At 43.1% G+C, this 26,668-nt stretch overlaps 1 protein-coding gene and 1 long non-coding RNA gene across 8 annotated transcripts in view, besides 1 other annotated feature; one reads left to right on the forward strand and one right to left on the reverse strand.

Moving 5' to 3' along the window:
* Positions 1-6,177: 6,177 nt before the first annotated feature.
* The window catches only part of FAF1 (Fas associated factor 1), a 523,240-nt gene continuing 502,749 nt past the window's right edge, over positions 6,178-26,668 (reverse strand). For all 5 annotated transcript variants that reach the window (NM_007051.3, XM_047442745.1, XM_047442743.1 and 2 more), the window contains one exon: positions 6,178-10,673. In NM_007051.3, the coding sequence (NP_008982.1) occupies positions 10,590-10,673 (84 nt within the window). In that variant the 3' untranslated portion in view covers positions 6,178-10,589. The remainder of the gene's footprint in view (positions 10,674-26,668) is intronic.
* The window catches only part of FAF1-AS1 (FAF1 antisense RNA 1), a 29,669-nt gene continuing 13,638 nt past the window's right edge, over positions 10,638-26,668 (forward strand). The window contains exon 1 of one of the 3 annotated variants that reach the window (XR_007066079.1): positions 10,638-17,757. This is a non-coding gene — a long non-coding RNA (FAF1 antisense RNA 1). Of the gene's footprint in view, positions 17,758-20,945; positions 21,035-26,668 lie in introns of those variants that run through there. The other 2 variants (XR_001737633.3, XR_007066077.1) reach the window with 2 other exon arrangements.
* Positions 22,280-22,781: an enhancer, noted in NCBI's record as "NANOG hESC enhancer chr1:50918802-50919303 (GRCh37/hg19 assembly coordinates)". NCBI's record gives its function as "activates a minimal SCP1, AML or CMV promoter by ChIP-STARR-seq in naive H9 embryonic stem cells {active_cell/tissue: H9 hESC(naive)}" and the evidence as "EXISTENCE:reporter gene assay evidence [ECO:0000049][PMID:30033119]".

Raw genomic sequence — 26,668 nt, forward strand, 5'->3', positions numbered from 1 at the left:
GGGGGAAGCCTAATACACACACACACACACACACACACACACACACACACACACACACAGCCCTGTTGGCGGCTTTCCCTCAAATAAAGAGTTCTACTCGGACTTCTTCCCCCACCCCTCACATTTCCTGCTGAGATGCGCAGTCTCCTAGGCTGTGTGTGGACCAGGGAGTTTCTAGCTACCTGACTGGCTCAGGGCCTGCCTGGCCCATCCTTCTTCAACTTGAAGCTCGATACTAGTTGGTGCACAGCCCAACATAACTCTTTCCTGGCAGGGTCGGGGTGGAGGAGCTGGCGCACAAGTAGACAGCCTGCTGCGATGGGAGGTAGGGACTCCAGGCTTGCTGCGGCACTGACGCACATATGTCTGCCTCCTACAGATTCCCAGTCCCAAGACATCAGTTACCTGGAGAACTTCTACTCACCCTTTACGACCCAGCCTCAGAGATCTTGTCAGAGGCACAATAGGCACACACTGACTCCGCAAACTCTCCAAGTACCTCTGCATTCTACCCTCTCCGAAGCCACATAGTTACCCATCTTTACCTCGGATTTATACCAGAGGAAACTGAGGTATACAGAGCAGGTGACTTTCCCAGGGGCATACAGCCAGTGGGGGGAGGGGTGAGAACTGTTCTTTGGGTCTTCAGGAGAGAGCTGGTTGGAGACTTGAAAGTGGGATTGAGGCCACTTTCCCTCCCCAGTTCCCTGAACTGGTTGGGGCACAATGGAGGGAGCACTTCCTTCGCTGTTTGAAAGAAGCCTCTTTCTTTAGGGGCTTCTTCACTCCCTTCTGTGCACCTACAGCCTCCTTTACCCCACAGGATGGACTACCCTATGTTCTCACTGCCAGTCAAATGTTTGACAGCCCCTTCAAGTGTCCTCAGCACCTCTGGTCGCAGGGCCTGGGCTAAGCAGGGCTACTAGTGTGGAAGCTGAGCTGGGCTGGAGTCCTGCATTTAATACATGTAACATGGGGGTAGAAGCAAAACTTTCATTGGGTCATTGTGAGGATTCAATAATGCAATTCATGTAAAGTCCTTCTCAGTGCCTGACATATAGTAAACACTCAAGAAGTGCTGGGTATTATTATTTATTAGGCAGTTACTGAATGAGTGAATCCCTCTCTGCTTTCAGTCCAGAGAGGAACAGTTCCCTTCTCAGCACCCTTCTGCCTTCATGAGAAGGAAGACTGGGGAGCTGGGAGCCGGCAATAGGAGGTGCCTTCTCAGGTGCCTCTGATTTTGAACCATAATCTTAAAACTCCCTTCAGAACCAGAATTCTGGCAGATTTGCATGGCCCAGACCCTTCACTGGCCTGGGATGCTCAAGATCCCAGAGAGATTCTGGGCCATCTCCTTCCCTAGGTCACTTCATCCACTCCACCTACCACCCTCTCCAGAAGCTCAATTAACCAGAACCTGTTTGCCTCAAGGCACAAAGTGGTACTGCCCCAGTAAATAGGAAGAAGCACAGCCCGGGGCCTGCCCCAAGCCTCTATGGGAAGTGCACCTGCCCCCCTTCACCCCATCTCTTCTCAGGGCCTCCACTCCTTGGGGCACACCCTAGCACTGCTGGCTTCTAGTGGGGCTCCCCAAAGGCAGGGGCTGGGCTCCATGCCCCCATGACACAGTGCCACTTTTATTGCAGAGAATGTGTTCTTCTCTCTGAGCCCCTGACCTCCTGCAACATGTAAAAGATGCATAAAATGCACAGCTGGAAGAAACCAAGGCATGCAAGTGATAGCTGCACAAACTAGTTCCTCACTGATGCTTGCCATGGTTAAAGGCATGCCAGAATGGAGGCTGTGGCAAGTCACTTCACTGCTCTGAGCCTGTTTCTCCATCTATAGAATGAGGAAAGGTAGACCTACTGCATTTGGAAATGATCTGAAATGAGACAAGGACTACGCAAACACAGTTAGGAAGATTATGATTCTCGTGTGAGATGCTCAGCTGAGCCCTTGGTGCCCATCTCTGGGAATATACCAAAGTTCCTGACTGCCCACCTGGTTCCCCTTACCTGTGCTTCCACCTGACCCCCAAATCAGAGAAAAGTTTCAGTAAGACTCTCTTCGTTGTCTCCTCAGAAGTCCTATACAAATGTTACCAGTGTGTAAGGCAGGTAACATTTCCAGGAGCCTGGAGATCTGATCCCAGAAGGGCAAGCTCCATTCTGATCCTGTAGGATGCCTCCTTTTTCTAATTCCGGGATCTCAGATTACCAGGCTCCCAGATGGGGTTTACCTATTCCCAGAAGCCTTTCTGACAGCCCGGACTGGGGACCTCCTCTGGGTTCCCACAGCTCCTGGAACTCTTCTAGCACCACCCTGAAATTGGTGGCCCCAACCCACTCCAGCTTGGAAGTTCTGGGTCAAAGGTAGAGGCTAAGGATCTGGTGTTTAAAGACAGCAATGAATGGATGAGTCAAATCTAACCTGCTCTCCATAAGGCAAAGGTACTTAAGTAGTACTTAAATTAAATGCTGGTCTGCCAGAAATGCATGGTGGGAAAAATATTTGCTTTGGAGATAGACAGCCTCAATCATGGGTCATGGATATGTCATATAGTAGTTATGAGACTTTGGGCAAATGACTTAACTACTCTAAGCCTCAGTTTATCAATGTATGAAACAGCTATGGTATGATCCACCTCATAGGGTAGTGTTGGAGTTCATTCACTCATGTAACACTTACTGTCTGTGCCCTGTGTTGGGTCATGTGAAGATGGACCTGTCAGGGTCCAGAGAGGGAGACTTCTGTACAAATAATCACAATAATGTGATAACTGCTCTGCTAGGGGCAAAGAAAGGGACTAGAAGAGGACTTTGACTTGTCCTGGGGGTTGGGGAGCCTTCCTGGAGAAATAGTGAAGTATAGTACTAGCCTGAACTCTGGAGCCAAATTGCCTGTGTTTGAATCCTGGATCCTTGGTTTACTAGCTTTGTGAATGTAGGCAAATTACCTCTTGTGCCTCAGCTTGCTCACAAATAAGTTGAGGATAATAGCTCCTACTTTATACGGTTGTTGAGGAGTAAATGAGTTAAAACAAATAAATCTCATAGTGACCGGCATACAATAAACATGATAGAAGTGTTCACTGTATTATCAATAGGTACTTATCAAGCACCTATGCAGAGTCAGACCTGTGATGACGATAAGACAAGTCAGATTGACCCTACTCTCACGGAGTTTAGACCTTACACAAAATTGGAGCTGAGTCTCAAAGTACAGATTGCCTCTTATCTAAGGAGAGTTTGAGAGAAGAGCAGCAAACTGAGGAAGGAACTCAAGGGCTGCTGACGTTTAATAGGCAGGCAGAAAACCCTACATAAGAGACAGAGAAGGACCTTTCAGAGAGGTGAGAAGAAAATGAGGGCAGTACAGTATCCTAGAAAGCAAGGGGGATGGGAGTATGTGAGGATTTTTATTATACTCTACTCTCTGTGGGTTAGAAGTTCCACCACTGAAGCATCTCAGGAACGGGGACCTCATCAATGAGGGAAAACAGCAAGCATGAGCTTTGGGCACAGATCCAGAGTAGAAGCCCAGCTCCTCTCCCTACTACCTGTGTCTCTGAGACAAGTGACACAATCTTTCTGAATGTTTTCTTAGCTGTAAAATAAGGATAATAATAGTACCAACCTCACAGAGTAATTCTGAGGATGGCATGGGAGGACAGAGTCTATTAAGGCCCTAGCAGTGTGCTGGGCTTACCTAGGTACTCAAAACCAATTCCTTTAGTCTTTTTCTTTCCTCAGCAGCTCCAATTGGTTTTGCTTCAGCTCCAATTAATTAATAGTTCAGTAACCATTGGGTGTGTGACTGTTATGTGCCAGACCCTGGGCTGACTCTGGAAATAAACGGATGATTAAGATCTGGTCTCTGCCCTCTCAATGTTCCCACGAGTTGGATGCTAGAGATGGAAGTGGACATCTAATTAGTACATGGATGCCATTATTTATTTTTATAAATTAAGTTAATAAATCCAAACTTACTGTGTGCTTATTATGTACTAGCCATTTGATTAGGCTTCAAGAATATGAAGTAACTCAGGCCATTTGCGGGGGTCCCAGTCTGGGGGTTAGGGGAGAAAGAGTATGCAAGCTGAGAGTTACAGCTCAGAGTGATCCAGTGCTATGAAAAGGGCAGCAACAAGTCTGAAGACTCACAGCACTCCTGTGTCTAACCCGAGGAGTGTGAGGAGGGTGTGGCAATGGTCAAGAAACCATCTTGAAGGAAGTGAAGTATAAACTGAAAGTGAAGGATGGATGGATGGTAGGAATCTATTAGGGCAGAGGACACAGTGTGCAAGGCCAGAGATGACAGAGAACTGGCACTTTCAGGAAACTGCAGGTAGCTCAGGATGTGTGTTGAGGGCATGGCTGGAGATACAGATGGGGAGGGAGGTAGCGGCCAGATGACAGAGTTTTAAATCCAAGCCAAGAGTTTGGATTTTATTTGGAGGGCAACAGCAAGCCTTTGAGAGGATCAAAGCAGGGTGTGACACAGTGAAGCAGGTGTTTTAGAAAGCTCTTTTTGGCAGTTGTGTGGTGACCGGTCTATAATAGAAGGGACTGGAGAAAGGGAGATCAATTAGGATGCAGTTTTTTTTTTTTTTTTTTTTTTGAGATGGAGTTTCACTTTTGTTACCCAGGCTGTAGTGCAATGGCATGATCTCAGCTCACCGCAACCTCCGTCTCCTGGGTTCAAGCGACTCTTCTGCTTCAGCCTCCTGAGTAGCTGGGATTTCAGGCATGCGCCATCATGCCCAGCTAATTTTGTATTTTTAGTAGAGACGGGGTTTCTCCATGTTGGTCAGGCTGGTCTTGAACTCCTGACCTCAGATGATCCGCCTGCCTTGGCCTCCCAAAGTGCTGGGATTACAGGAATGAGCCACCGCGCCCGGTCTAGGGTGTAGTTTTATAACTCAAGTGACAGACAGTAAAGGTCTGAAGGGAAGAAAAGGTAGTGGGATGAAGGATGAAGGAGCAGAGAATGGATTTTGAAGATGTCAAATAAGTAGAATATATAAGATCCTTCTTAAATCACTGCATGCACTTATAAGGTGTTGCTTAAATTCTAGCTCCTGACACATTTCTATATAACATTAGCACTAAGAACCGTATGAAGAATGAGTATTTTGGAGAGCTGAGTTTACTATAAAAATATGACTTTACCCCTCTTAGCATCCACCAATACTTTAAAAATGTTATTATTATTGCCATTATTAATTGCAACGCCTTCGGCTGGGTATGGTGGCTCACTCCTGTAATCCCAACACTGGTAGGCTGAGGCTGGAGGACTGCTTGAGCCTAGAAGTTCAAGACCAGCCTGAGCAACAGAGCAAGACCTTGTCTCTACAGAAAAAAAAAAAAAAAAAGAAAAAAAGAAAAAAAGAAATGCCTTGGTCATATATGACACTTTCCTTGAAGATACTGTATTGTCATAAACACAGCAGGGGTTTTTGAGTCAAAGGTCTTGGTCCAAAACTCTGCTCTGTTCTTTATAAGCTGTTGAACTCAGGCAAATCATTTCACCTTTTGAGCCTGTTCCCTCTTCAAAATAGGGCCAAGACCACCATCTCATAGAGTTATTGTGAGGTTACATGAGGAAAGAGGTCTGTAATGCTCCAAGCACAGTACTGGGCACATTGTAAGTGCTCAGCAAGTTTAGTTCTCCGCCTCCTCTCTTCACATCATGTTCTCGGCTTTTCTGTAGACACCCGTAACACAGTGACATTGTGCAGGGCTCTCTGACCCTTCTCTGATGGGTCCTAGAGCAGTGCTCCTGGACTTCCTGTGTCTACTTTTCACATTTTCTGTGTCCTCGCCCACACACTTCTCACTGCTGCCATCACCCACTCTCCTTTCCTGTGATAATCCCATGAGTTTACAGAACAGATAACAGCTTCCTAACTGTTCCACATTAATTCACTTAATCTTCATAAAACCTTATCATCCAGGTACTGTTATTTTCATTTTATAGTTAAAAAGCTGAGGCACAGGAATGTGAATGCGAAATGACTTCTTAAGGACACGTTGCTAGTAAGTGGAGGAGTGGCTAAGACTCAGGCAACATGGTTCCAGAGGCTGTGTTCCTAACCACACATCATACCACCTCTGAGAGCCCAGAACCCCAACTAATAGACAGTGTACAAAGAGTTTATAGACTGAAGACTGGAGATCATGTCTCTTTTATTAATATTTTCTTTCAGACCAAACTTTCAAAATGCAACAGTGAGGAGCTGTGTGGCCAGTTGGGGTTAAGTGTCACCTTCCAAAGCAGATTATTTGAGACAAGGACAAAATACTAAATGCAGAGATATTCAAGGCAAGAAAGTCTAGTGATTGTATTTCATCCTCTGGAGGTTTCTTTTAGATAAAAATACGGATTGATAAAAAGAATGGACAGATTCTTCTCCCCAAATAGGATGACGTAAATGGTGATTCTTAAAATTTTTTGATCAATAGGTCCCACTGAGAATCTGATGAATACAGATTCCCTTTCCAGGAAAATACATGTTTAACCTTTCTTTTTTTTTTTTTTTTAAAGAGATGAGGTCTTACTCTGATGCCTAGGCCAGAGTAGCAGTCGCACTATCATGGCTCACTGTAGCCTTGAACTCCTGGGCTCAAGTGATCACTTTGCCTCAGCCTCAACAGTAGCTGGGACTACAGGCAAGTACCAGCATGCCTGGCTAATGAAAAGTTTTATTTTTTATTTATTTATTTTTTTAGAGACAGGGTCTTGGTATGTGGTCAGGGCTGGTCTTGAACTTCTGGCCTCAAGCAATCCTCCTGCCTTTGCCTCCCAAAGTGATGTTTAACTTTTTATGTACAACTGTAGAGGATTCCAAGATCCGTTCTTGAATATAAAATTTAGAGATTCTTGGCCGGGCGCCGTGGCTCACGCCTGTAACCCTGGCACTTTGGGAGGCTGAGGTGGGCCGATTACCTGAGGTCAGGAGTTCTAGACCAGCCTGGCCAACATGGTGAAACCCTGTCTCTACTAAAAATACAAAAATTAGCTGGGCATGGTGGCACATGCCTGTAATCCCAGCTACTTGAGAGGCTGAGGCAGGAGAACTGCTTGAGCCCAGGAGATGGAGGTTGCAGTGAGCCGAGATCGTGCCACTGCACTCTAGCCTGAGCGACAGAGCGAGACTCTGTCTCAAAAAAAAAAAAAAAAAAAAAAAAAAATTAGAGATTCTTTGTAGACAAGCAGTGGAAAATTAGAGTTAGCACTTTAAGTCCTGACCCTTCTACTGACATGCTGTGTGATTTTAGGCAAGCCACTATCCTCTAAGCCCCTTGTGCAAAAATGGAATCATCATCTCTGCCCTGCTTCCCTCATAGCGGGAGACTATTATGATGTGTGAAAGGTGTGTCCAATTGCAAAGTGCTATCAGAATGTTGTAAGGACACTGAGGTTCAGAGAGGTTACTTACCTTAAGGTCACGCAGCTACTAAGTGGCAGAAGAGAGGTTCAACTTGGAAGACACTGAAGTCTCTGGAATGTGTGTGTATGTGGCTGTGGTTATATGTATGTGAAGATCTCTCTTCCTCTAAGAATTTTAAAAAGGATCAAAAGAGAAAATACAGGTGAAAGGGTTACACAGACTATAATGTGCAATGCCTATATGAGTTACTCCTGGACTGAACTAAAGACTCCAAGTCCCATCCACTTGTGGGGACCCAGGACTGGATGGCTAAGGGACAGAAAAGGATGGGTAGAAATGTGTCAATCAGTGATGCTGTTGTGGAGAGAATTAAGACCCTCTCCCACATTCAAATGAAAAAGTCTATACTTTGGGGGAAATTTGCCAGAGCTCTCCACCTCTTAAAAACCTATTCTACTGACCAGCACACTTAGATGTTATTATGTGACTAATATGTTTCTAATGTCAGCAGCAAGTAAAATCTATAAAAGCATAAATCTTACTCTCTTATGTTAAAAAGGTAGATTCCATAAAAGATGCTCTCATTCATCTTTGATTCTGGATGCTTACAATCCAGAGATGAACATCTGTGTGTGCTATAAAACTAGTAGTGCCAGAGAATGGCAACATCCGAAATCAGAAACCTCCAAAAAAATCCCTGCACCTTCTTAAAGGCAATGGGAAATTGGCAACACTTCCTTTAACTTTCAAACTAATGCTGCAACTGCACATCCAGCAGTCCAAGAACACAAGGGAGTAAACTGGAATGGGGGATGACAAAGAGTCCTGGAGCTTCACTGTCAACAGTTGGGCATAAGAATGCCAAGCAAATATTCAGACTGACTCACTTACTGGGCCTGGAGGCTGGGATGTAAAGCCCAAGGAAGCCTAATGGTAGGAGGAAGAACTGCAGAGGACACTGCTATTTCTGTGGTGATGGGAAGTCATTTTAATGCTCTGCTTGTATGAAAAGGATAAAATTGCTTTGGCCTTTTGTCTGAAGCTTAGTAGACCATCATGTCCTGAGTGAACAGTGACAATTAGCTGAGGCCTTTCCCAGTTATGAGGCCTAGAGCATAGGAAATCATGGGGCTGAGTAGGCCAAAAGAACTTTCTAAGGCAGGTTGAAAAAGGTTGTATCAACTTCACACACATTCAAGTAGCATTTAATAACTTCCATGAAATTGGCTTTAGAGTAAAGTCTATATTGTTGTAATACAGAAGTGAAGGTGAGTGGGAGGGAACAATATAATGAAGAAACCCAAGTCAGATGGAACAGGTTAAACATGAAGGTGAATTCAGAGTACCTTCCCTCAAACCCCACCCACACCCCTGCTGCTGTTCCTGAGTATGACCTGAGTTCAGGGCTGCAGCTTCTTCACAGCAGCTACAGAACAAGGTCTACCTAGAAAAAAAAAGAGGTGGTGCCCTGGTGCATCTGTAGCACTGGAAATGACTATCTTGTAGAGCCATTAGATTAGGAAGATAGGAATAGAGCTGGAGAGAAGTGTTCAGTTTGAACTCCCCTGAACACTTCCCCTGAAGGGAGACCCATGGGTCTCTCAGCCTCCCTAGAGAGACCCCTGCTGCCAGAGAAAGCCCATACCTAGGCAGATGTAGCACTAGTCTGTGCTAGATAGTAATCTGGAGAGGTCCCTGGTTGGAGCATCAGAGAAGACACAAGGTGTAATTTTCCTGGCCAACATCCACTTCTGGGCAGAAGGAAAATGAGCAGACCTATCTCCAGCTTTGGTTAGAATCTTCTGAGAACCCCTTGGCCGAGGCTGGGGGAACAAACCCAGCATTTGAACTCTTTTTTGGACAAGTACAAAATGTTAAAATCAGGATCCCAACCCCTAGGATAAAACCCACAGGTGACACAAAAACAGATATGGAGAAATATTTCAAGACTAAAAATAAATCATTGGCTGTGAAGGTATAAACGGTGTTCTCATGATCTAAACCCCAAACCCCAAATCTGTAGATTAAGAAAAATCCACACTTACTAAATCAAATCAAAAATTATTATATGCAGGTTTCAGGCAACACATGTCTTCTGAGTTGAGTCCCCAAGTTTGCTCTCTTCAACATATGAAGTCTGATTTTTCAGCCACAGAATGAGATCCCTTTCATTTGAGTCCAATATCAAATACTAAAACATTAAAAGAATAAAATAGTAGAGCAAGTTCCTTATTACAGGAGAGTCCATGGGGCTGCTCATCAGATTTTGTTGATAGGCAAGGTGCTTAAACACCAAGTGACAAGGTCCAAATGTGTGAGGGAGTAGAGAGAGAGAAAGCAAGAGAGAATTGTGTTCAGTTTACACTGATGGACTAGCAACTTGGGAGCTGGTATCTGTGAGGTTCTAACTGCCCAAATGCAAACCTAACAGTAGCCTCTTGCCATTGGGCCAGATACTGAAGTTTTGGTACTGGCCTCTCTGCACATGATCTCAACATTCACATTGTGTGCTTGAACAGTTTCCCTATGCTGCAATGGAACAGCAAATACCTCCTAGGTAGAACCTGGAGACCCAAGGCAGCAGCAGTAAATAAATATCTTGCATATATGTCAAATTCAGTCCTCAAACAAAACCTGACATCTTAGTAAAGCCATCAGAAAGTTCTAACAAAAATGGTATACTTTTTTCCTACAATGTTTAATCTCCATGCCGACAATGTCTCATTTGACTTTTTTTCCCTCTGCCCCTTAAAATTAGGTGATGAAGTAGAAATTCAGTCATGAAAATAAAAAGACATATATCAAATATACAGCATCCTGGTGTCACAGAACAGACAGAACTGTCCTAGACACTGTGGGGAAAAGATGGGCACTGGAGAGGTAAAAATTCTATTTAGTGATCACTCACACTTGAACAATGCATTCGTCATTGAAGGAGGGTGAAGTGCAGGGGGTAGGGGAGGGTGGCAGAGTTGTAATTCTCTGTAATAAGGGTTGGGAATATATACTCATGGATGGGAAATCTTAAGTAGCTATATTTATTATTACTTTTTCCAGCAATTTTGCAAGAGGCAGAAGTGTGACATTGAATTGAGTGAGACGAGCGTGTGGGTGGGTTGGCGAGGAGCCCTTCTCCTGACGCAGGCTGCTGGCTTGTCAAGGAATGGCTGGTTCCACCGCTGGGCCGTGTTTACTCTTTTGCTTCAAGGAAAAGGGTTTCTTGAGGGAACAACTTTACCTCCAATAATGATTTATTTGGGTCCAGTTGAGTTACCTAAAAAGATGAAGAACACATATTCAAAAGACTGAAACAAGCACTATATTCTCTACATGGCCTTCATTTTATCTATGCACACTGATTCTGAAACTATGCACTGGCACGAAGAGTCTCGCAGTATCTTAGTTGATCTTCAAAATAACCTGCAAGGCAGGTGTTGTTATTCTCATTTTATAAATGAGGAAACCAGGGCTCAGGAAAATCAAATCTCATAGTCAAGTTTGGTGGAGGTACCTTTCTTGCACAGCTCAGCCTGGCTGGCAGAACAGGGGGCCCTTGGGAAAGGTGCTGGTTAACAACTGACTGGCATTCCTAGAGACCTCTGCTTGGTTAGCCCCTAATAGAGGGGAGGGACTCTTCTGCTTGGTGGGACTACAGCTAAGCCTTTGGGGCTGATCTTCCTCTTAGAACTACATTATAAACTGTAGAATGGCCATTCCACCATGCCCAACGATGAAGATCTCCCCTGGTGAGGGGAGGCATATCATACCCTTGTTGATGGTATATTTAGTTTGGAAAAAAAACAGGCAATGTCATAATACAACTTTATATTTTAAAAATTAAAAAAAATCATAATTTTGTAATATGAACTATTGAAAGTCAAGCTAGACAAAATCTTGGCTGAGTGGGATACGTTAATCATACAGGGATCCTAAATTAGGTTTATGCCCTCCTAGGCAACGGGCAGGGATGGGACATGAAGGTCTTCTGAATCTGCGAGTGAGAGAAGAAACAAAACTTTCCTGTTTATCAAAAGAGGTCACAATGTTTAAAAGTTGAGTAATACTGGTTTAGTGGAAACGACACAGGCTTTGGAATTAGAAAGACTCTACTTTAAATTACAGCTGTGTTGGCTATCAGCTTTGTGGCTTTGGAGTTAGTATCAATCTTGCAGGACTCATTGTGAGAATTAAATGAGAAAAAATATATAATTAGCAAAGTGTCTTGCCCAGAACAGGTGTTCCATAATGACTGCTGTGTGTGAGAGCAACTGTAAAGATGGTGGACACACAGATAAATGGGCAACTCCAAGTGTGTGATGGGAGGGCAAGCAATCTCTAGTCAGGCCTGAGGCTGCTGCTCTGCTGCTCTGGGCCTGACTGCAGCACCTGAGGCAGGCAATCTTATCTTCTGCTTAACTCAAGCTGCTCCTAATAAGATGGTTCTGGTGTCTTCTTCCATGGAGGGGTGGGGGATATGGGGAAGTGGAGGCCCTGGGGGCCAAGGCCAAGTATCAAAGGCAGGCTGGCAAGGGGAAGGGGAAACTATCTTCAGCTGTATCTAGATGGAAACCTGGTATGCTCAGGAGGGTCTTTAAAAAGACACATCCGCCCCTGGAATCCTCTCCGCTTATAAGGAACTCAGAGCAAAGCACACTGTATTTGTATCTCTTGGGTTGTGGGCAGATGGACAGGCAAGGAGTGGGAAGGGCCTAGCCTGTCTATCTTCCAATGCACTGAGGGGCAAGCTGCTGGCAAATGTTTACCCACTTCCCCAATTAACGTACAATACTCATTGGCTTCTGTCAACAAACAGAGCTACTCTGCCTCTGCTTCTCATTCGTTGGCATTTTCTGCCCACCTGCTTCTGATATTGTTCTTAATTAACATGCCAGAGCTCTTCCAGCATCTTCTACTTTGTTATTTGTGGCTTGTAAATATGATGTTTGTTGGGAGAAACGATCATTGTAATCGTGTGCTAGGAAGCAAAAGAGGATGGGAGGCTGAAGTATCAGGCCTGAGTTGCACCATGCTGGGGTTGTCATATGCAAGATTAGAGGTTCATAAACCACACCCAGTTTTCATATGAGAAAGCTGCATCCAAGAAAAGTGGCTTTCTTCAGTCACTTTGAGTGGGAGAGCTGGAATTTGAGAAGGAGGAAACTAAAATTTCTTGAACGCCTACTATATGCCAGACAACATATCCATACAACAACCATGCAAGACAGTGGAGATGATTAAATTGAAGCTCAAAGTGGTTACCACTTGTTTACAGCCATATGGTTAATAAGTGTCTATAAAGCACAGTGGTTAAAAAGAGTGAAGCAAACCTAGAGTCAAATCCTAGGTCTGTCACTTCCTACCAGTATGACTTTGAAGAAATTATATAACCTGAGAGCCAGTTTTCTCACCTGTAAAATGGGAATCATAGTTTCTCCTTCATAGGTTGTTGTGATTATAGTTAAATGGAATAATGTTGGTGCAGCCTCTGGTACAGTGTCTGAGCCAATGAGTACTCAGTAGGTTGTAGCCATTACTGACTGGGTAGGGGCCCTGATCTTTCTAACTTCAAAGCTGCAGCTCTTTCACCAAAACCTCCTGGAACCCTGATCTATACCAGGCTATCTTTCTTGTTTCTTCCCCACGGCCCAGCAAGAGTGCCCCCCCTTTCCTGATCAGGTAATGCCTCCATCTCTGGAGACCCCCGTCTACAGCCTCAGTGAGGCTGTGTCACCATTGGATTGCTTCAAAGCAAACACGGCTGTGCTGGCTGCTCCCTCTGGTGCCCTAAAAATAAAATCAAGCAATTTTTTTTCTTTGAAGGTCATTTTAGGTAAGAATTTCAAAGTGAGCAAGGACAATCTCTATTTCCATTCTCATTTGCCTGGCTTGGACAAACCAATTGAGAGAAACCTAGGGGGATGTAGGACATCATGTTTCTCCCCAGCAAGATGGTGGCCATGCTGTGAAACTGTCCTGCAGTGCTCTGGGCCCCATTCAAGAAGGACATGGAGCATGCCAGGAGGGACCTCCTGCTTAGGAAAGAGCCTAAAAGCTATGTTCTCCGAGAGACAGCTAAAGAATGGGAGATATCTCCCTGGAGAGGGGGCACTGAGAAGTGGTGGTGTTGATGTTGCTATATGGGTAGGGAGGGGGCTGTGTCAGCCCTCTTTGAATATCTGAAGGGCTGATAAGTAGAAGACAGAGCAGATGTGTTCTGTGCAGCTCTGGGGGATACAGCTAGGGCTGGTGAAATAAAATCACAGGGAAGCAGAACCCAGCTAGTCAGAAACAACTTTTTACAGACAGACAGCAGCTGCCGACGTGGCTACTACTGCTTCTCTTATCTTTCTCCCTCCTCTCTCTGTTCTTTATTTTCTTGTTCTTCAGTCATCATCATAGCAGCAACTATCACTTATCGAGTGCCTACTATGTAGCTGGGAACCATGTTAAGTACTTTATATACTTTTTATATAGTACCTTAACTAGACCTCACAACAGCTCAGTGAAATAGGTACGATTCTTTCCATTTTATGGATGAAGATACCACAGGTTATCTTGCCCAAGGCTGCAGACAGAATAAGGTTTCATACTCAGGTCTGACTCTAAAGCTGATGATATGAATGATTCTGACTAACATGTCAACAGGCTGCCTTGGGGAAATGGAGGTAGGGAGGGTGGGATGGGTGAACTCTCTGCTGTTCCCAGAAGCACTCAAATAGGGGCTTACTTGCAGATGATGACTATAGAAGCTAATGTTTATTGAGCATTTACTTTGTGCCAGGTATAGTCCAAGCACTTTAATATAAAAGGTAGGTTATCTGAGGTAGGGACAATTATTTTTATTTTATTTCAATAGTTTTTGGGGAACAGGTGGTTTTTGTTACATGGGTATGTTCTTTAATGGTAATTTCTAAGACTTTGGTGCACCCGTCACCCAGGCACTGTATATTGTACCCAATGTATAGTGTTTTATCCCTCATCCCCTGCAACCTTCCCGCTGAGTCCCCAAAGTCCATTATATCATTTTTATGCCTTTGCATTGAGGTAAGGACAATTATTATCCCCATTAAGCCAAAAAGCCAATGGAGAAATTGAGCCCTGGAGCAGATTAAGTAACTTGCCCAAGGTCTCAGAGCTATTAAGGGCAGAGCCAGGCTGTGAATCAAGGCAGTCTAGATTTGGAACCCGCTACATTACATTTTCAGAGATATTGCTGAGAGTAGTTTCTATATAGAGAAAGAAGTTGGATGAGATGATCCTGAAGTTGTTTCTAACCAAGCTTCCGGGATATAAGATCTTCACTTTAAGAATGGCAATAGGTCAAGGGTCAGGAAAAAAGTCCTGAAATGTTTATAAAATATGAATACAAAAACCCAATCTGAGCTTGTGTTGTGCCATTTACTTGGGACTTTACTGAATTATCGACTCTCTAAATCAACAAAGAAGCCCACCTTTTGGGACTCCTTGGGGGAGAAGGGTCATTCTCAGATAAGAGGTATGGCTTGATTTTGTCTATAGTTAGAAAAGGAAAGTCAACCATCTTGACATTTTCTTCACTATACTTAGAAAACCTGAATGGATATATTTTCTCATTAGCTTAATCATTTAGCAAATTGGCTTTGTGAAACATGTTTATGTAACAAAAATGGGACAGGTGTTCTTTGCCAAACAGAGCTATTCCTTTCTAGATCAATTTTCTTAGCAGACTGAAATTTCATATACTGTTTCTATTACTTCCCTGGGCTTCAGTTCCTTTTCTAAAAAGCCTATCACTGCTGTTGAGAAAAATGTGAATCCATGGGACAGATTCTCATCCTAGGCCACACTGCGAATCCTGGAATGTTTGGGGTTGTGGGGGGGAAGCTCCTTAAATGCCAAATTATCTAACCCCTTCATTTCATAGAAGGGCGATCTAAAGCTTAGAGAGGTCAAGTGACTTAGCTGAGGTCACACGGTTGAATAGGAGCAGACGCAGCACTGCATGTGCAACACCCACAGAGTTTCTGACTTCTGTTTTGGGGCTCTTTCTAGTCACATCCTTCTGCCTCTCACTTTTTAGTACCTGAGCATAAACTACAGGATGAGTATCACTAATGTAAAAATCCCAAATATTTCAAAATCCAAAACTTTTTGAGTGCTGACATGATGCTCAAAACAAATGCTCTTTGGAGCATTTCAGATTTTGGATGTTCTGATTTGGGATGCTCAACCAGTAGGTAAATGTTCCAAACTCTTAAAAAATCCAAAATCCAAAACATTTCTGGTCCCATGCACTTCAGATAAGGGATACTCCACCTGTACTATTAGGCTGGGAGCGACCTGAGGGCAGGAGCTGAGTAATACTAAAAAGAATAGCAGCAGCAATACTTGCATAGCCCTTCATAGTTTGTAACATATTTACACAAACATTAACTCACAATCATGTGAGGAAGTTAGATCTTTTACATTTAATATTTCTGAGGTAATGCTTTTATTTTGAAATTGAATAAAAGAAAGTCTGGATCTAATATTTCACTTTTAGAAAAAATGCTAGGTTGGATTTTTTTCTTCTTTTTCTTTTTAATGTTCCTAATGCATTTAACAGTTTATGGGGGAAATGCATTGCGGTAGTACTTGGAAATCAGCCCCACTCTGTAGATTAGGAAACAAGACCCAGAGACTGGATTTGTCTATGATCACATAGGTAAGTGGTAGAGGCAGAACCAGAACCCAGGCCTTCTGCTGGTTCCCTAATAATTTTCATAGTAACTCCCCACCTCTTACAAGTAGCCTAAAAGGGTTCTCTCTCATTCCATGAGTTACAGGCTTTAGGTTCAATATGTGGAACTGGAAAACAATAAACCAACAGAGGCTTCTCAAAACATATTCCTGCTTTTTTTTTTTTTTTTTTTTTTGAGATGGAGTCTCCCTCTGTTGTCCAGGCTGGAGTGCAGGGGCACGATCTCGGCTCACTGCAAGCTCCGCCTCCCGGGTTCATGCCATTCTCCTGCCTCAGCCTCCCGAGTAGCTAGGACTACAGGTGCCCGCCACCACGCCTGGCTCATTTTTTGTATTTTTAGTAGAGACGGGGTTTCACCGTGTTAGCCAGGATGGTCTCGATCTCCTGACCTAGTGATCCGCCCGCCTCGGCCTCCCAAAGTGCTGGGATTACAGGCGTGAGCCACCGCGCCTGGCCTATTCCTGCTTTTAAAATAAAATTTGCATTTGAGAAAGTTCCAGCATCTTAAAGGCAGAAAAGCTCTTGTTACCAAATTTTGTCTAGTATTTGTTTGCTTGCCTTGCCTCTGGTGACCAATAACTTTCATTCTCTAGACTGTGTGCTGATAGCACTGTGAGTTGAAGGGACCCTGAATAGCCTGACTCTCAGGAGCAACCCTTTGCCACGCTGGCAGAAAATCTGTAAGTCTCTTTGAGTCCACACAGAGATCAAACTCCAAAACCTCATCCATCTCATCTTACCTCTTACGCCAATGTCAAGGACAAGCAGGTCTAATCCTCTACATTAGACACAGACAGAGCAAAATAAGTTTCTCCAAGCTTTAGGAAATCCATCCCTTCAGTTATAGACTATGTACTTCAGAAAACCCTCTCCTCTCTGAATTCCTCTGTGCTGACTGCCAAGGCTGTACATTATCTAATGTTATCAGGATATAAAGGACCAGACTATATGGGTTCCAGTCCTGACTCTAGCAGTATGACTTTGGACGAGTCACTTTTCTTGTCTAGGCTTTAATTTTTGCATTTTTAGAAGTGTGAGGGCGAGTCAGTGGAGTAAACTGGATTGCAGTTAAGCTTTGGAAATATAATACTAACACTTAAATTCAAATCTCTTAGCCAAGTCAGTAAGATGCTTACTTGTGCACTAGTTCCCTTCTCCACTGGGTGAAAGGTTATTATAGGGATTGAAATAGCCATCAAGGGCCTGACACATGGAAGCTATTATGATTCAGTGCCTTCTTTATGTGTAAGTAGATGGTGTCTATGTGGTTTGAGTTCCCCAGTGGCTGGAACTGTTGAAGTGTGATCCCAGGGAGGGATACCTGGGTTGGATTCCCACTGCTATAACCTCCTAGCTGTCTGATGACCCTGGGCAAATTCAATGTTTATTTATAAAATTGAGACCTTTTTTTTGCCTCCCAGAGTTGTTGTGAGGGTCAATAATATAAAACTTATAACTCTTGTTGGGGGAAGTATTTATTTCACATTTATGTATCCACATGGAGTGACTTCTGGATGTGTTCCCTATCTCCCACACAGGGGTGAGAACAAACTTATTTGCCTGGTGAATTTGGGAGAAGGATCTGAGCTCAGCCCCTTCCTTTTCCTTTTCTGGAACCAACCTGCTCTCATGTTACAAGGTACGAGGGCCTGCAGTGTCCAGCTATACCATGGACTGAGTGGGCAAGTCTGTTTAATTTACAGGCAAAGAATACATCAGCAAGCCCCTTGGCTGCTTAATCTCAAATCACAATCTCTGATCAACTTTTCCGGTAACAAAGGAGGTGATATTTTTATCCCCACCTGAGTGCTATGTCTATCTTTCAATTGGTCTTATGTCTTTCAATTAGTCTTGAACTAGTTAAGTGAAAGGGTATTATTTAATGGCTCCTAAAATCCCAAAAACCTCAGAGCACTAAGCAAGTACTTAACAATTAGGTTTTGATGTAACATGATACGAGGGTCACAGCTTTTTTTTTTTTTTTTTTCAAAGTCTGTTTGGTCTTGATTAAAAGATGGGAAAATCAACTAGTCAGGGCATAAATAAATTTTAAAATACATTTCCCATCTGTAACATAAAGCCACAACAAAGATTATTCTTAAAGAGATGCTTCTTTAAAGCCAAGCTATTTGAACACAAAATGAATGTGCTACTAAACTTCGTTCTGAAGAATGCATACATAATAGTATTATTTTACAGTTCTCAAAACACTTTCACATATATTATCTAAACGTTAAAGCTATCCTAAGATTGGATTCATTTATCCTCATTTTTACAGATGAGAACACTAAAGCTCAAATAGGGGGACATTTCTTATGCACAGTCGTACAACCAGAAATTGTCGGGGCTCAAACTTGAACGCAGGTCCTCTCCTTTCAAATCCTAAGCTCTTTGTACTCTGAGGCATATTTATGGGCTGCATATGTAAGTTCCCAGATTATAGTGAAGCTGACTATATTTGCTTTTGATTTTGTTCAAAATTAGCATTTACTTTGAACTTGGGGGAACAACTTTTTCTTTCTTTTTTTTTTTTTTTTTTTGAGACAGAGTCTCGCTCTGTTGCCAGGCTGGAGTGCAGTAGCATGATCTCGGCTCACTGCTACCTCTGCCTCCAGGGTTCAAGTGATTCTCCTACCTCAGCCTCCCAAATAGTTGGGACTACAGGCATGCACCACCATGCCCAATTAATTTTTGTATTTTTAGTAGAGACAAGTTTTCGCCATGTTGGCCAGGATGGTCTCGATCTCTTGACCTCCTGATCTGCCCGCCTCGGCCTCCCAAAGTGCTGGAATTACAGGCATGAGCCACCGCGCCTGGCCTAACTAATCTTTTTGGTATGCTATGAGTAATCTATTCTATTAGTTACTCTATTAGGAAAACATGCTATTAAATATCAGAAGCTTAATAAGTAATTATTAACATCATCCCTATAAAAAGTTACCATGGCTGGGTGTGGTGGCTCATGCCTGTAATCCCAGCACTTTGGGAGGCTGAGGCAGGCAGATCACTTGAGGTCAGGAGTTCGAGACCAGCCTGGCCACCATGGTCAAATACTGTCTTTACTAAAAATACAAAAATTAGCTGGGCGTGGTGGTGCACACTGTAATCCCAGCTACTCAGGAGGCTGAGACAAGAGAATTGCTTGAACCTGGGAGGCAGAGATTGCAGTGAACCACAGTCATGCCACTGTACTCCAGCCTGGGTGACAGAGCAAGACTCCATCTCAAAAAAAAAAAAAAAAAGCTACCATTCATTTGGTGTTAGGTGCTAGGCACTAGGCTAGTTGTTCTATATATTATCTAATTAAATGGTCCCAACAATTCTATGAGATAAGTACTCCTATTATTTCAATTTTACAGATGAATTCTCTGAGGTCAAAAATGGTTCTGAGACTTGCTCAAGATTACATAGCTAGGAAAGAGAAGGCCAGAATTGTACCCTGGTTTGTGAGCTTCCAGCCTATATCCAGTCATTACCCTTCACTGCCTCTCAACTTCTGACCTACTTCTAAACGGAGGACAGTTAACATGACTAACTGGCTTTCTGTTGGGCATAAAAAATGCTGCACTCTGCTGCTATGTCATGGCTTATGTCCCTAATGGGCTTTGGTGTTCCAAACAGGAACTCAAGCTGTCTTTTGTTACTGTCAACTTAGTCCTAACAACTAATCGTCTATTTTCTTTAATCACCTTTTGATGAGCTAGGAATCCCTAAAGAAAGCAGTTATACCCACAAAGTATCAGAGGGGGAACTTAGGGGAATTGCTGGGCATATGCTGAGTCAGGGTATAAAAAAATCTTTGGTAATAATAAAGTCCTTTGCAACATAAGGGATTACAATTATTAATAATAATTATTATAAACAACTATGACAACAATGTCAGTTGTACCTCTTAGCAATTTCTTCTTTACCTTTGCTGCAGGTGGTAACACACCCCAAAATGAAACTTCCAATCTGGAAGGGTCCCACTATGAGACTACTCTATGGTTTATCTCAGCTTCCTATGCAATTGCTAGGCCAGTCTGTCTCACTGGACCACAAGAAAGAAGTGGCACTGGGGTGAGGGCTTCCAGGAAACAGTGACAGATGCTCCTCTTTTCATTACTGAACTGTGACAGATCAACTGGGGTGCTAGAGAGTGAGGCTGGGTGGGTGTCTGTGGCTGCAAAGCATAGGTGTCGAGGACATTTTCTTCCTTTGATGACGTTTTTAAGGTGGGAAAGAGAGAATGAAAGAAAAATTAAAGGAAGAACAAGGGGAGAAAAGATTAAAGTAAGAGAGGAATAGAAATTGTGCCTTGTAGGCTGCCCTGTTTGTTCTTTGTTTTATTAAATTATAATAATGGTAACAAGAGCTAACATTTATTGGGAGCTTACTAGGTGCTAACTGTGCTAAGTGCTGTATAAGCACTCATACAACTCTATGAGGGAGGTATATTACCTCCACTTTAAAAATGAGGACAAGAGGCTCAGCGAGATTATATAATCTGCCTAAGAATGCACAGGCAGGAAGTGGCAGAGCAAGGATTTAAAACTAGGTCTGACTTCAAATCTGTGTTCTTAACCACCACAGTAGATTATTTTAGTATTGTAGTCATGTACTAGACTATTTATTCTAAGTCCCTTGCTTGGGAGGACTGTACCCTTCGTGTAACTGAAATGCATATTTCCCCCATAACAGAGTGTATTATTACCTTAGGCATTTGGGTGAAATTTAGTCATTCAATTATGACAGAGCTAGTAATTGTTAGAGCTGGATGGGTCTTTAGAGGTCATCTCTGTAGCATATGGGGACAGAAAAGCCCAGTGAGTGGAAAGAACTTACCCAAGTTTATTCAGCATTCATGGCAAATCTGGATTCTTCATTCCTAGCCTATGCCTTTAGATGGACTGTTTAGTGAAGACACCAGCTCTAAGGTATTATAATGTTAAAATGGTCTCAAACTTGGCACACTGTCGGGGACACCCTGGGCACCAAACAAAAGCTGTAACCTTCTCCTTGCAGTGGTATCCTTGATGGTGGCTTTGGTCACTATACTATTAAATGACAATATAAGTGGGGAAGGCCCAGAGGGGATTCTATTAAGAATGGAATGGGGAGGAAAAAACCGTCTTAGTCTAAAAACAGGAGATGATCCAAGTCTTCAGAATGAGAATAAAGAACATAAAATGAATATACAAAGAACGAGAACAGGCATGTTTCCCCATCCTGGAAAGTCCTGGAATCTGGAAGACATAATTTCAAGCAAATAAAAGAAAGTCCCGCTTTACAGAACAATTTGCAAGCTCATTGCCCCTGAAAGCATAAACTGGACACAGGCAAATTCATAAGTGAAGATTCTGTAGTGTGGCAAGATAAACCTAATGCAGATGAGCCCCAGCAGTGTGCCCAGCTTACAGGTATGCTAAGATACTGATTCTTCTCAACTCTTGGGGCAGCCAGGAACCTCAGAGCTGGGTTGCTTCTGACTCTGAGCAGCCTAGTATGGTTCTCCAGTAAGACACACAAACACCATTTTCAATGTGTGTGGTGACTTGAAAAAGGCTGGGAATCACTGAGTTAGGGGACATGCCTCACTTTCCAAGGCCAATACCACGGAAGCAGCCAGGACCTTGTATAAAAGGTTGGTCCATAATGCTAACCACTGTGTTTGGAACAAGACATTAAGAGACAAATGAAAGGGGAGACACCTGTTTTCTGGTTAGGTTTAGAACTGTTAAGTTAGCTTAAAAGCCTTCTGAGAGATCCTGATTATTGTTAGCCTCAGAGTTTCACTAGTAGGCATGGATTAAGTGCTAATTAGGGAGGCAGTAAAAAAAAGCACTGGTGGATTTAAATCTTAGCACTGCATGTGTGCTCTTGAGTAAGTCATTTAACCTCTTACCATGAGATAAGATCCAAATTTCTCATCTGTAAGTTGGTGACAACATCACCCAACACCACATGGTCTCTTAATAGACCACATCCCTCTGGGTCTATCTCCTTCACACTTCCACTAGTGAGAGTTGAACAAAATGTCTGATCCTGTCCTGCTCCTTCTCAAAGTTCTTAAATGACTCCTTGCCAAAACAGGATAGTTCCCTTTTGCTTTGGCCTCACTTTCCCAGTTTGTACACGGTAGTGTTTCTGAGAAGGCTCCTAGCAGGACTTCAATGAAAGACGTGGCTGGAAAGACAGTTTGGACATAGATCATTAAGAGCTCAAATACCTTATTAGGTTATCATTTAAACTTCTGAAAAAATCTTTTCTCCTTGGCTTCAGAGAGATCTGGAGTGGTGGGCTACATGTGCTCCTCAGGCCCAGTGGGCTAGGGAGAAAGTGAGCATTTTGAATGAATTTTAATATCCAAGCAGGGCCATGCGAGCTGGTGTGTGCATTGCTCTGCACGCAAACACCACTCAAGAGCTGGGGCTTTGAACAGGAGTTAAAAGAGTTTAGTCCCTAACGACATACAAAAGACTTGCCGGTGTGATTTATTCTGATGTATTTACTTATCCAATTACCAAAACAGCAGGAGATCATTAAATTTTCTAGTTACCAGATGCAGCACGTTCAATATCTTAAATGTTACCAAGGCTCTCTCTGAGCTATTTTGATAGTACATTTCATCTACCCAAAAGCTTATAAAACTGGAAGGCAAGAATCATGAACAGAGCACGTGTTTTCTTTGAAGGCTGGTCCAGCAGCGGCCTGTACAATACCAAACCTATACCCAAAATTCCCAAACTCCTGGGCTTAAGCAAAAGCACCATGATGAGAAAGAAAAGTATTTAGGAAGAGAGGATGCTAGGAAAGTGGTACTTGAAGGTGGCTGGAGATATGCATTTTACCTGGCCAGCCTTTTCTTCATGCGTATTCCCTATCAGTTTAGTTGCCATATCCACAAAGGGTCAGGGCTCAGAGCTGGGGAGGGGAGTCAGAGAACAAGCATCATTTGGGGAACTGCAAACCTGCCTCCTGACCCTAGCATACTGCTCTGATTACCTGTGTGCTCTAGGACAAGTCACTTTTTGTCCTCTGAGATTCCTTGTCTGTTAAACAAGGATGTTGATATCTGTCTGGTGTACCACCTTATGGACCTGCTATGAGCATCATCACAGCTTATCACAGTAACAACATTTTAGAAGTGGCAAAATATTTTCTCTCAAAAAATACATCAAATAAGTGAAATCTGGGTCTAAATTTTCGAACAGGGGGTAGGGGCTTGGCCCCAACATTGCTTACTATGCTGATCTCTAAATATTATCCTCTCATAGACCCTATGTGCCAGACAATTAGAGCAGTTTGCTATTCCTCAAATATGTCTTGTGCTTTTCCTCCCTGAACCTTTGCTATGTTGTTTCCTCCACCTAGACTGTCCTCCCTCTCCAGTTCTACCTGTCCCAACCTATATGTCCTTCAAGGCTCAGCTCAGATGCTACTTTCTCCATAAAATCAGGCCTGAGTGACAGAGCCTAAATTAATCTTTCTCCTATTCCTGTAACAGAGTTAATCATAGCTGGAATCATTCACTAGGCCATCGGCTCATGGAACACAGTGACCATATATGTTCATTGTGGTCTCTCCCTCATATGCCTATCCCATTATCCTGCATGTGGTCAATCCATGTTTACCGGACTAATACCTTTATTTCACCTTAGGATCCTCAGACAAGGCAGTTGCCAAGGTCTGCTGGCTGACATAAGGTCAGTGTTTAAAGTGGAATGCAGGTACTGGCAATGCCAACCCTGTCTTTTGCTAAAACAGCATTCTTATACTTTGACCAGGCAAGAGATCCTAGAGGATCTAGCTCAAGGGATCAGCCACAGTTTCACACTGAGTTATCTGTTGTGCCTTTTGATTATTTGTTTATGAGTCTGTCTCTCCAGCCAGGTTGAATTCTGAGGGCACATAAGAGATTTTACTGGCTACCTATCCCCAGGTCCTAGCATACTGCTGGAAACAGTGTAAGTTCACTACATGTTTGCTGAAAGACTGATCTACTGAATGACTAAATGGAAACTCCCCACTCCTCCCTAGAGCCTCCATGAATTCAAAGAAATGGAGTCTAGAGGAGCTGCATCCTCAGACCTCTTCCCCCAGCCTCATTCCTACAGCAGGCAGACTCCGTTGGTGATACCATCAGCAGGTCATTCCAGCAGCTCCCTTGGCTCTGGAAGCTCTCTGGCTCTAGCTTCTGTCAGTTCTGCTACACAGATACAGGGGCTGACAGTAAGTCTGCATCAGTTGCCCTTTCAGAGGGGACAGAATTTTCCCTAAACTGCTGTTGGAATTGGCTAATTAGAAGGATTTAAAAAATCTTAATACTCTAAACAGAGAAAACTGGTTCTGAATTATTAAGCAACATTTTCAATGCATTTGAATAACCTTAGGTGACTTAGCTGCCACCTGATCCTAAGCTCTAGCTCAGATAAATAAATGTGAAATATTGTCAAAGCCTTGGCTTATAGAAGCCTCCAGCTACAGTAAATAAAAGCTTAACTCCTCATAAACTGCCTGGGACAGAGACACTGTCATATAAAAGGAAAGAAGATGATCTTAAATAAAGCCAGTAGGACCAGGAAGCCAATGGTTTTGTTCTAGTTTTCGGAAGAGAGTTGTCAATGGGGCATGTATTATCAACATCCAGGTCATTTAATCACAGAATCACATAATATCAGAGCTGAAAGAAAATTAAGAAAACACTTAATCTCTTCATATTTTAGATAAAGAAAAAAAGACCCAGAGACGTATGTACCTTGCTTGAGATCACATAACAAGTGGCTAGAAGAATTAAAATTTTGCCCCAGGAGACATGGTTCCCAGCTTAACCCCCTTCCTACTGCACTACATTCTTCTCACTTTTGTTTTTTTGATTAAAAAAATTTTGGGGGCCAGGTGCATCACTTGAGGTCAGGAGTTCGAGACCAGCCAGGCCAACATGGTGAAACCCTGTCTCTACTAAAAACACATAAATTAGCCGGGCAGTAGATGGCATGCACCTGTAATCCCAGCTACTCAGGAGGCTGAGGCAGGAGAATCGCTTGAGCCTGGGAGGCGGAGATGGCAGTGAGCTGAGATGGCACCACTGCACTCCAGTTTGGGCGACAGAGTGAGACCCTGCTTTAAACAAAAAAAAATTTTTTTTTTTTAGAGATGAGATTTCACTATGTTGCCTAGGCTAGAGTGCAGTGGCCTATTCAGGCTCAATTATAGTGCACTACAGCTTGGAAATCCTGGGCTCAAGTTATCCTCCTGCCTCAGCCTCCTGAGTAGCAGGGACTACACTGCAGGCTTGTGCCACCCACAATCTTCTAAGAATGTCTTGCTGGAGATGTCAAAATGAGAGGCTGACAACTGGCTATAAAAACACATCTGAAAATTTTAATCAGATGGGTCACTTCTGGTGCTTGAGTTCTAGAAACTCCATGCTCCTGCCATGCCTCCTCCCCCAAACTTGGGAGTGTTACTTCCAAGACCACCGTAAGGAGGAGGTAAGGGGAGGGTGAGAGAGAAAGAAACCAGGAATGTCACTATAATGTGGCCTCTCACTTGCCTGTCCTCAAGCTATGAAGATACCATGAGTTTCTGACTGGTAAGATGGAAAATATAAAACCAACCAACCAAACAAACAAAAATAGTGGATGAATAGCTGGGAACATTTTATTTCTTCTAATTTATTTACTACACAAGTATTTTCGGAGTGTTTACTACATGTAAGAAACCATGCTAGGTCCTGGATTATAATAGTAAACAAGACACTATTTCTGCTCTCAGGAGTATACAGTCTAGGGCAGAATGCTGACAAGAAAAGAATTTAGAACACTGAAATTCAGAACAGTAAAGGGCCACAAGAGGGAAAAGGGTACCAGGAAACTACAAGGAAGGCAAATGCCTGGCTCAGCCCTAGGGTGTCAATTAGTTCCACATTTTTCTTTCCTCCTTGTCTCAAACTTCGTGTGTACAATTTTTTGTTTAAAAAATGTATATCTTACCTTCACTTTGTGACTATGTAAACTTGAACCAGCCATTTCTGCTTTTGGTTTTCCTAAGCCTTGGGCAAGTTACTTCCCATTTCTGCATCTCAGTTTTTTCATCTAGAAAATAGGTTTTTTTCCCCTAGTTTTCACAGTAAAGAATGCATGCATGAGGAAGGCTTGTTCACACAAGGTCTCACATAAAGCCAATTAGAGGAGGGAAAGTGAAAAAAAAAAAAAAATGGAAATAGCAAAAGAATCTTCAGGTTTGGGATTCAGCCAAACCTGAAGATTCAGATTTAGACATTAAACCTGAAGGCTTGAGGTCCTGGTTCTGGACGAAGAACAGGGTGTGGTTTTGGTGAAGTAGGCTGGGGCTGCAGTTGGCACTGCGGTGAGGTCCTGGGGAATCTACCATTTGATGCATGTGCTAATGCACTCTAGAACTCCAGTACTGGCTTTGAAAATTACAAGGAGTGTCTAGAAAAGGTTAATCTGCGCACATACACATTTGCAGTTGTTTGTGTTTACAATGGGGTTATTATACAGACTTTAAGTGAGCAAAGCGTGTCTGCGAAAGCAACTAGAATACGG

This window comes from Homo sapiens, chromosome 1 (assembly GCF_000001405.40).
Source record: "Homo sapiens chromosome 1, GRCh38.p14 Primary Assembly".
Taxonomy (NCBI): domain Eukaryota; kingdom Metazoa; phylum Chordata; class Mammalia; order Primates; family Hominidae; genus Homo; species Homo sapiens.